Here is an 11,361-nt window from a genome sequence, read left to right on the forward strand (position 1 = left end):
GCAGTGTAGCACGCCATTCCTATTAGTCAAAGAAATCACAAGTCCACCCAGATTCAAGAGAGAGCAGGCATAGGTGCCGTCTCCCAATGCGAGGAGTGTCAAGGTTACATTGCAGCAAAGCTCATGGATGGAACTGCTGCAGCCATCCTTGGAAATGACAACCTGGCACAGGTGGTGTCCCTCCTCCCTGGCACCTGTCTTTTTTTTTTTTTTTTTTTTTTTGAGACAGAGTCTCCTCTGTCACCCAGAGTACAGTGGTGTGATCTCGGCTCACTGAAACCTCCGCCTCCTGGATTCAAGCGATTCTCGTGCCTCAGCCTCCCGAGTAGCTGGGATTACAGGCGTGTGCCACCACACCTGGCTAATTTTCCTATTTTTAGTAGAGATGGGGTTTTGCCGTGTTGGCCAGGCTGGTCTTGAACTCCAGGCCTCAAGTGATCCACCCACCTCGGCCTCCCAAAGTGCTGAGATTACAGGCATGAGCCACTGCGCCCCACCACCTGTCTTGTTAAGAAGTCCCTCAGAGTGGGTACCTTCTCTTTCTTAGCAGTTCCAGCCTGCTCAGAAGTATTAGGAGGCTCTCGCTATCTTCTAAATGGGATATGCAGTGTGCACTGAAATTATTTATGGAAACCAACTCTATCTTTGGTGGAAAATGTCCAAGAAAAAGCATAAGCACTGAAGTAATTAGCTAATATAATTGAAATGAAGGGAATAGTTCAGACTCTTTAAGTATGACTTGAAAATGAAGAGACATGCTTTTTTTTTTTTGAGACAGAGTCTTGCTCTGTCACCCAGGCTGGAGGGCAGTGGTGCGATCTGGGCTCACTGCAACCTCTGCCTCCCAGGTTCAAGCGATTCTCGTGCCTCATCCTCCCGAGTAGCTGGGACTACAGGCATGTACCACCATGCCCGGATCATTTTTTTGTATTTTTAGTAGAGACGGGGTTTCACCATATTGGCCAGGATAGTCTCGAACTCCAGAGCTCGTGATCCACCCGCCTTGGCCTCCCAAAGTGCTGGGATTACAGGCGTGAGCCACCGCACCCAGCTGAGACACGGATTTTTTTCAGTGAGAGGTGATATAATCCCCATCACTATCCCAAATGGGATATGGAGTCACTCAGTTAGCAAAATTTTCCCGAGTGTCCACTAGATGCCAAGCATCGTGCTAGGTCCAGGTTGAAGATGAAGGTGACCTGCCTCCTACCTGCAAGCTGCTGAAATGCAACGGAAATGACCAAAAAATGTGGACAGTGATGTGCTAAGTGCTCTGATGGAAGGCAAAAGGTAAGGCGTCTGGGAAGGTGGGAATGAATGGGCTCCAGGGAGCCACCTTGAGCTGAGTTTTGGAGAAGGAGACTAGTGTACCAGGAACTCAGGGGCAAAGCAGGGCAAGGACCTTCCAGGCAACCCTGGTAGTTTCCTGAGGCTGGATCTTCTCAACCACGGCTGAATGTTGATCTGTCACACAGGCCCAAAGGAGAGATGGAGAGAGACAGACAGACAGATACACACACAGACACACACACACACACACACACACACACACAGAGAGAGAGAGAGAGAGAGAGAGAGAGAGAGAGAGAGACTGTCTTTTATCATAGTCTTAAGATAAACAAGTCAGAAACACACCAGAGACCAATCATACAGCAACATGAGGACATTTCATGAAGGGGCAAGCAGCACCCCCAAATCTCCATAAGCCCAGAGAGAATCATCCAATCATATTTAGGGCAATTCTGGGCCATCTGCATTTAAAATGATCTCTTGGATCTATTGTTTGAATGAGGCACATTTTAAAGAACACTATATCTTAAAGGAAAGTCAATTATCCTTACTTAAGTTTACAAAGGACGTTTTATACATACACTTTCTTTTCTTTTTTCCCCTGCATCTTCTTAGAGCAAGAAAGGAATACACATATGCTTTTTATTTTATTTTATTTTATTTTATTTTATATTTATTTATTTATTTAGAGACAGACTCTCTCTCTGTTTCTCAGCCTGGAGTGCAGTGGCACAATCTCGGCTCACTGCAACCTTCATCTCCCAGGTTCAAGTGATTCTCCTGCCTCAGCCTCCTGAGTAGCTGGAACTACAGGGGCCCACCACCATGCCAGGCTAATTTTTTTCTTTTACTTTTTTTTTTTTTTTTTTTTTTGTATTTTTAGCAGAGACAGAGTTTCACCATGTTGGCCAGTCTGGTCTCGAACTCCTGACCTCAAGTGATTTGCCGGCCTTGGCCTCCCAAAGTGCTGAGATTACAGGCATGGGCCACTGTGCCCAGCCTGTTTTATATATTTTTAGATACAAGATCTTGCCATATTGCTCAGGCTGGTCTTGAACTCCTGAGCTCGAGTGATCTTCCCACCTTGGTAGGATCCCAAAGTGCTGAGATTACAGACATACACTTTAGTCTAATTTTCTTGACAGACCTGAGAGGCAGTTTATGCCCATTTTCCTGATAAGGCTCAGAAAGGTTGAGTGGCTTGTTCAAGGTCACTCCATTAAAATCAGAGATGGGACTCCAACCTAGTTCTTCAGAAATGTTTTACTTTATTGGATAATTCATTTCTGTGGAGCAGCTGATTCTTTTGTGCCAAATCAATGACAGGTGAATGAATTCAGGGTGACATTATGGAGAGGAGGAAGTAGTGTTCTTTCATCGTGTTGACCCCCTAGAGTCACTCTGGGCTTTGACAATCCGGTGGTAGGAAGAGGAAGAAAGAGTGTGGAGCATTCGAAGGGAGATTTTCTGGGCAAGGTCGGGTCATGATGCACATCCCATCAGCTCCCATTCTATGGTCAGGACTGTCATGTAGCCCCATTGCAAGGCCAGGGTGGCTGGGAAATAGAGTCCCCAATTAGCCAGGCACTTCTCAGCCACCATTTACACTAAGGAACAAGGCATGTGAGTGCTCAATGTTCCAATGCTCATCTCTGCTGCAAGACAACACTTTCTGAGTGCTTATGATCTACCAGGCAATGTTCTAAGAGCTCCACTTTTTTTTTTTTCTTTTTGGAGACAGGGTTTCACTGTCACCCAGGCTGGGGTGATTATAGCTCACTGCAGTCTCGAACTCCCAGGTTCAAGCCATCTTCCCATCTCAGCATCCCAAGTAGCTGGGACTGCAGGTGTGTGCCACCACCCCGGGATAATTATACAAATTTTTTTTTTGTAGAGATGGGATCTCCCTATGTTGCCCATGCTGGCCTCAAACTCCTGGCCTCAAGTGATCCTCCCTCCTCAGCCTCCCAAAGCACTAGGGTTACAGATGTGAGCCACTGTGTTAATGCATTTAATCCTCACAACACTCCCCTAGGTGGAGGTATTCCTGTGAGTCCCATTTTAGGATGAGGAGCCTAAGGCACCGAGAGTGGTTGAGAAACTGGACTCACACTGAGATCCCTGCTGGAACTAGGAGCCCGATGGGCCCCACCCCCTGCATTCCTCCATGATTTTTCCTCTGGATGCCTCCTGTCTCGGCCTCCTCCTCACCATTCCTTTAACCCTGTTCCAGGTCACACCGTTTCATGTCTCCTGCGTCCTCCTTTCCCTCAGCTTCTCCCCTTCCATCCACTTCCCACCATGCTGCCAGGGATCTTAATGAAAGTCAAGTGTGATCCTGTCCCTGCACCTTCTTACCAGCACCCATATGTAGCCTCAGGATCAAGTGCAGACTCCCTTCCTTGGCATCCTAGGCTGATGCCATTTGGCTCCAACCACGTCTTCCTCCTAATCTCTCACCACCCTGTGTGCACCAAATATGCCAGGCTGCAGTGCCTCTGAGCTTCTACCATCCTCACAAAGAGCCTAATTGTGAATCTAGGCCTTTGCAACGCTGTTCCTTCTTTCTAGAATGTTCTTCTCTTCTTGCATTTGCCAAATTCTCAGTTCCTGAAGACGACGCTCAGAAGCCGCCACCCTATGCCTCCCCTCTTGGCTTCCCCAGCCAGGTCCATCCCTCCCTCCTCTGTGCTCCTGGGATTGGAGTTTTCCTGCAGACGGAAGCCCTTCCCACATGGCCTTGTTGTTGGCTCTTTACTTGTGTATCTCCCTCCCCAGACCAGGAGCAATTTTAGATCAGGACAGATCTTACCCATTACCATGGGACCCAGAAGCGGGGCTGAGCCCTCACACTGGCATATCAGGAGGAGAGGGGCCTAGATTCCATGGCCTGCTCTGCCCCTGGCTAACTTTAGAGCCTGATCAGTGCCTCGCCTCTCAGTGAGAGGAGAGCATTTGTCCAGTCTGTGGTTTTGGACCCTGGGAACCTTGCAATTAATACTGATGGCCAAGAACCACCCCCAGGGATTCTGACTCAATTGCTCCCAGGCAATTCTAATATGAAGCCAGGGTTGAAAACCACTCTGAGTGCTTCCACCTCCTTGATGTGCACACAAGTCCCCTGGGCCTTGTCTAAGAGTCGTTTCTGGTGCAGTAGGTCTGGGGTGGGGCTGGCGTGTCTGCATTTCTCACAAGCTCCCAGGTGATGACAGTGCTGCTGGCCCACTGACCACCAGTGGAGTAGAAAGGACTTAGCCAATCTCTCCCATCCTTGGCCTGGCATTCAATGCCACTGAGATGGGAAGAGGAGACCTGGAGGCCTGCAGTTTAGGAAGGAGGGAAGGAGAGGTGGAGGGAAGTAGTGAGGCTGAGGATGTAGTCATACCTGAGCAGGGTGTGGGCAAGCAGCCACCCCCAGGGCGAGAGGCAGGAAGAGCAGCGTGGCCCCTGCCCTGTTCATTCACAAGCTCCCTGCTCCCTCCCAGCTGCTTAGGATTTCAGTCCTCATCAGGCCATCATTCCCATTCCAGCATCTGACTCTCATGATCCTGGCCCATGGGCCACATAATGACTTGTCTTTTGCAAGATCGATTTTGTTCTGTTATTTACTAATTGCTTAGTTATTATTTTGATGGACGGAACAAGGCACCCAGCCCTCTGGGCTCCTGTGAAACAAATTGACTTCTAGCCCACACCACTTGGATAGATAATAGATCCTCCCATTGGAAAGCCCAGGCAGGTGTATGAGGACTCCATGTTCCCTGTGTCCCTTGCTCCTGAGGACAGATCCTGTATTAGTCTGTTCTCACACTGCTAATAAAGACATACCCGAGACTAGGTAATTTATAAAGGAAAGAGGTTTAGTTGAGTCACAGTTCCGCATGCCTGGGGAGGCCTCAGGAAACTTACAATTATGGCAGAAGGGGAAGCAAACATGTCCTTCTTCACATGGTGGCATCAAGCAGAAGTGCCCAGCAAAAGGGGGAAAAGCCCCTTATAAAACCATCACATCTCATGAGAACTCACTATCACGAGAACAACAGCATAGGGGTAACCACCCCTATGATTCAATTACCTCCCACTGGGTCCCTCCCACGATATATGGGGATTATGGGAGCTACAACTCAAAATGAGATTTGGGTGAAAACACAGCCAAACCATATCCGACCCCCTTTGCCTTACATCAGGTGGGCTTTTGTGGAGTAGCTACCCCATCTGGTAACCTCTATAGCTGAGGTCAGAGCTCCTCCTTGGGGACCCTGATTGCTAAGGGGGCAGATGTCCTGAGCTCCAGCAGGGGAGAGAGAGGGAGACTGGCTCAGGAAAAGAGCTATCCAAGCCAGAGGGAAGCAGACAAATAGAGAAAAGGCCTATCCAAGGCCAGACCCTCCCCTGTCCCCGCCACAGTCTTATGGGGTCTTCATGTCTACTGGCATTATTATTGCCTCCACCGTCAGGCTCGGGGCTCCAGCAGCATCTGAATTTGATTCATCCCTGTTATCCCAGGATCCAGTGTAGGGCTTGATGGAGTTGATGAGGTCCTGTACATCCCACAGGAGAAGAATGACCAAGGGCTAGAATTCCAGTAGCTGTACCCAGCCTAGCATTTGCCACTCATCCACCACGCATGTGATGTGTTTGACTCTTGCTCCCAGTAGCTCACATTTATGACGCATGCTTCCTATGCTAGGTTATACTCTGGTGTGTTGTTTATTCATAGCCAGTATTTCCACTTGATGAGATCCTATGGGATTTTGCAACTTATGTAACAAACTCTTAGGGAGCATTTGCTGTGAGCTGAATACTTTTTTAGGTGTTTATCTAGTCCTCATAATGGTCCTATGAAGTAAGTATAATCATTATCCACATTTTATGGAAAGCTGAAGCACAGAGAGATGAAGTAAACCTGCCAGGAAGTGAGGAGGTGGGATTCAAACCCAGGCTCCCTGGCTCCTGAGCCTGTGCCATCGCCCTCAGCTAAGCTGCCTCTCCTGGGTTTTCTCATTTCCAACCATTCTCTCTTTTTTGGATGTTGTATGCCTGCCTTGATCATCATAAAGTAGTCTCCAAACTTTTTGATCATACACTCCATCAGTAAACATTTTGGAGCATGTTTTCCTCCAATATATGTATGGAATGCCTGCAAATTATATACAAGCACCACTGTCAGAAATTAATATCTCAAGGCTTGGTATGCATTTAGTGCAATGATGGAAATAAATCCACATTTCAAATAGTCCCCTTAAGAATCTCAAATTCGAGGGCAGGAAATTGTTCCAGATTTGTCACTGGTTTTATTTCATATTCTGTCATTTGCTTTATTTTTTTCTCCTGTGCTTAAGTAACTAGTACTGTCTTCACTTCGTAGGTCCTTTGCAGGAGTCCTTTTAAGTCATCTATCCAGTAGGTGAGGGCTGATTTAATGAAGAGTAGATACTTTGCAAACCCAGTTTCCTGGACAAACTTGAACTGCCTTACAGCACTAATGAAGGAAGCTCATTAACCCCTTCACACTATGGCCACCTGACCCAGGATTACCTCAATATCAATTCGTAAATGAAATATGAGTAAATCCTCATTTCTTTCCTCATTTTTACACAAAGATATGAATAAAAATTCTAATATTATCTTCCTGCCCCTGGAGTGCACAGGCCCCCAATTACAGACTATTTCTTTGTCCTTCTCATGTTTATTAGCATAATTTCTATGGGTTTCAGGGGTTGTTACATGTGATTCAAACATTTTCACACAGGTTAAACCCTTGGGTAACCAAACATTTTTAAATATCCACAGAAAATTATTTGATTAAATAAATACATGCTCAGGAACACAAACAATTCTCAGAAGCACTTTTATGTGCAGTGTTAAGTTCCAAACAAGTGATCCATGTTTAGCATTACACATGGTACAAATTCTAAGCTTGATTTTAACAGATTGAATAAACAAATGCTCCAAAGGGCTTAACGATTCCTTCAAGCAATTCCCACTTCCCTGTGGCTTGGTGGATCATTTACAAGGTAACAGGCCTGGGTCTTAGGTGAGCTTGGATGCTCGAGTGATCATCCGCTGGAGCAATCATGTGATTAGTGGGACCAGCTGGACTTGTATCTCCCAAATAAACATTTTAAGCAGAGAGATTTAATAGGGGAAGTGCCGAGTCTCAGAGAGACTAAAGCCCATACTGATAGTTAATGGTGGATTAACTCCCCAATGCATCCATGTGTTCTCATTGTTCAGCTCCCACTTATAAGTGAGAACATGGAGTATTTGGTTTTCTCTTCCTGTGTTAGTTTGCTGAGGATAATGGCTTCCGGCTCCATCCATGTCCCTGCAAAGGACATGATCTCGTTCCTTTTTATGGCTGCATAGTATTCCATGATACTACATTTTCTTTATCCAGTCTATCATGATGGGCATTTGGGTGGATTCCATATCTTTACTATTGTGAATTGTGCTGCAGTGAACATATGCGTGCATCTATCTTTGTAGTAGAATGACTTCTATTCCTTTGGGTATATGCCCAGTGATGGGATTGCTGGGTCAAATGGTATTTCTGCTTCTAGATCTTTGAGAATTTGCCACACTGTCTTCCACAATGGTTGAACTAATTTACACTCCCACTAACAGTGTACAAGTGTTCCTTTTTCTCTGCAACCTCACCAGCATCTGTTGTCTCTTGACTTTTTAATAGTCACCATTCTGACTGGTGTGAGATGATATCTTATTGTGCTTTTGATTTCATTTCTCTAATGATCAGTGACGTTGAGCTTTTTTCCATATGTTTATTGGCCACATGAATGTCTTCTTTTGCAAAATGTCTGTTCATGTCATTTCCCCACTTTTTAATGGGGTTGTTTGTTTTTTTCTTGTAAATTTGTTTGTGCCTTGTAGATTCTGGATATTAGACCTTTGTCAGATGGATAGATTGCAAAAATTTTCTCCCATTCTGTAGGTTGCCTGTTCACTCTGATGACAGTTTCTTTTGCTGTGCAGAAGCTCTTTAGTTTAATTAGATCACATTTGTCAATGTTTGCTTTTGTTGCAATTGCTTTTAGCATTTTTGTCATGAAATCTTTTTACCTATGTCCTGAATGGTATTGTCTAGATTTTCTTCTAAGGTTTTTATAGTTTTGGGTTTTACATATAAGTTTTTAATTAATCCATCTTGAGTTAATTTTTGTATAAGATGAAAGGAAGGGGTCCAGTTTCAATTTTCTGCATATGGCTAGCCAGATTTCCCAGCACTATTTATTACATAGGGAATCCTTTCTTTATTGCTTGTTTTTGTCAGGTTTGTTGAAGATCAGATGGTTGTAGGTGTGTGGTCTTATTTCTGAATTCTCTATTCTGTTCCGTTGGTCTATGTGTCTGTTTTTGTACCAGTACCATGCTGTTTTGGTTACTGTAGCCTTGCAGTATAGTTTGAAGTCTGGTAGTGTGATGCCTCCAGCTTCGTTCTTTTTTTTGCTTAGGATTGTCTTGGCTATTCAGGCTCTTTTTTGGTTCCATATGAATTTTAAAATAGTTTCTTCTAATTTTGTGAAGAATGTCAATGGTAGTTTAATGGGAATAGCATTGAATCTATAAATTACTTTCAGCACTATGGTTATTTTCATGATGTTGATTCTTCCTATCCATGAGCATGGAATGGTTTCCTATTTTTGTGTCCTCTCTGACTTCCTTGAGCAGTGGTTTGTAGTTCTCCTTGAAAAGACCCTTCATTTCCCTTGTTAGCTGTATTCCTAGGTATTTGATTCTCTTTGTAGCAATTGTGAATGGCAGTTCATTCATAATTTGCCTCTCTGCTTGCCTGTTGTTGGTGTATAGGAATGCTAGCCATTTTTACACATTGATTTTGTATCCTGACACTTTGCTGAAGTTGCTAGTCAGCTTAAGAAGCTTTTTGGCTGAGATAATGGGGTTTTCTAGATATAAGATCATGCCATCTGCAAACAAAGATAATTTGACTTCCTCTTTTCCTATTTGAGTACCTTTATTTATTTCTCTTGCCTGATTGCCCTGGCCAGAACTTCCAATACTATGTTGAATAGGAGTGGCGAGAGAGGGAATCCTTGTCTTGTGCCGGTTTTCAAGGGGAATGCTTTCAGCTTTTGCCCATTCAGTAAGATATTGTCTGTGGGTTTGTCGTATATGGCTCTTATAATTTTGAGATATATTCCTTCAATATCTAGTTTATTGAGCATTTTTAACATAAAGGGATGTTGAATTTTATCAAAGGCCTTTTCTGTGTCTATTGAGATAATCACGTGGTTTTGTCTTTAGTTCTGTTTATGTGATGAATTATATTTATTTATTTGCATATGTTGAACCAAACTTGTAACCTGGGGAGGAAGCCAATTTGATCTTGGTGGATAAGATTTTTTGATGTGCTGCTGGACTCAGTTTGCCAGTATTTTATTGAGGATTTTTGCATCGATGTTCATCATGGATATTGGCCTGAAGTTTTCTTTTTCTGTTGTATCTCTGCTGGGTTTTGGTATCAGGATGATGCTGGCCTCATAAAATGAGTTACAGAGGAGTCCCTCCTTTTCCATTGTTTGGAATAGTTTCAGTAAAAATGGTATCAGACTTTCTTTGTACCTCTGGTAGAATTCAGCTGTAAATCCATCTGATCCTGGGCTTTGTTTTTGGTTGGTAGGCTATTTATTACTGCCTCAATTTCAGAACTTGTTATTGGTCTATTCAGGGATTCAATTTCTTCCTGGTTCAGTCTTTGGAGGGTGTATGTGTCCATGAATTTATCAATTTCTTCTAGATTTTCTAGTTTATGTGCAGAGAGGTGTTCATAGTATTCTCTGATGGTTGTTTGTATTTCTGTGGGGTCAATGGTTATATCCCCCTTATCATTTCTGATTGTATCTGTTTGGTTCTTTTCCCTTTTCTTCCTTATTAGTCTAGCTAGTAGCAGTCTATCTATTTTATTAATTAAAAAAAACAGCTCCTGGATTTGTTGATTTTTTAAAGAGGTTTTTGTGTTTCTATCTCCTTCAGTTCCACTCTAATCTGGGTTATTTCTTGTCTTCTGCTAGCTTTGGTGTTTGTTTTTTCTTGGTTCTCTAATTCTTTTATTCGTGATGATAGGTTGTTGATTTCAGATTTTTCTAGCCTTTTTTTTTCTTTTGGACACAGGGTTTCTCTCTGTCACCAAGGCTGGAGTGCAGTGGTGCAATCTCGGCTCACCGCAACCTCAACTTCCCAGGCTCAAGCAATCCTCCCACTTCAGCCCCCCAAGTAGCTGGAACTACAGTCATGTGCTACCATGCCCAGCTATTTTTTTTTGTATTTTTTGTAGAGACAGGGTTTTGTCATGTTGCCAAGCTGGTCTCAAACTCCAGAGCTCAGGCAGTATGCCCACCTTGGCCTCCCAAAGTGCTGGGGTTACAGGTGTGAGCCACTGCATGTGGCCTCTTTCTAGCTTTTTGATGTGGGCATTTAGTGCTATAAATTTCCCTCTTAACACTGCTTTACCTGCATCCCAGAGATTCTGGTATGTTGTCTCTTTGTTCTCATTACTTTCAAAGAACTTCTTAATTTCTGCCTTAATTTCATTATTTACCTGGGAGTCATTCAGGAGCAGGTTGTTCAATTTCCATGTAGTTGTGTGGTTTTGAGTGAGTTTCTTAATCTTGAGTCCTAATTTGATTGTGCTGTGGTCTGAGAGACTGTTATGATTTCAGTTCTTTTGCACTAGGCGAGCACATTTTAAGCCTCTGCTCACTTCCTGGCCACTAATATGCCAATGTTACTTGGGCAAGCCCAAAGTCAATGAGTGGGAAGGTTTCTCCCTCCCACCATGAGGCTATAGCAAAAGTGGGAACAAGTCCCTTTTTCATTCATCATAAGCAGTGGTTTGAGTCCACAGGGACCAAATCCCCAGCTACCTGAATGGACCTGAACTTGTGGCTGCTCTCTGCCCAAAGGAGGGGGCTGGTCTCTGAAGAATTGCAGTTCTGCCTCTAACAAGGCCTTTTTTTAAAAAATATATTTTTGTTATGAAAATGTCCAAGCACACATTAGAGAGAGAGTAGTCTAAAGAACTCCCACACACTC

This window comes from Homo sapiens, chromosome 14, assembly GCF_000001405.40.
Source record: "Homo sapiens chromosome 14, GRCh38.p14 Primary Assembly".
NCBI lineage: Eukaryota > Metazoa > Chordata > Mammalia > Primates > Hominidae > Homo > Homo sapiens.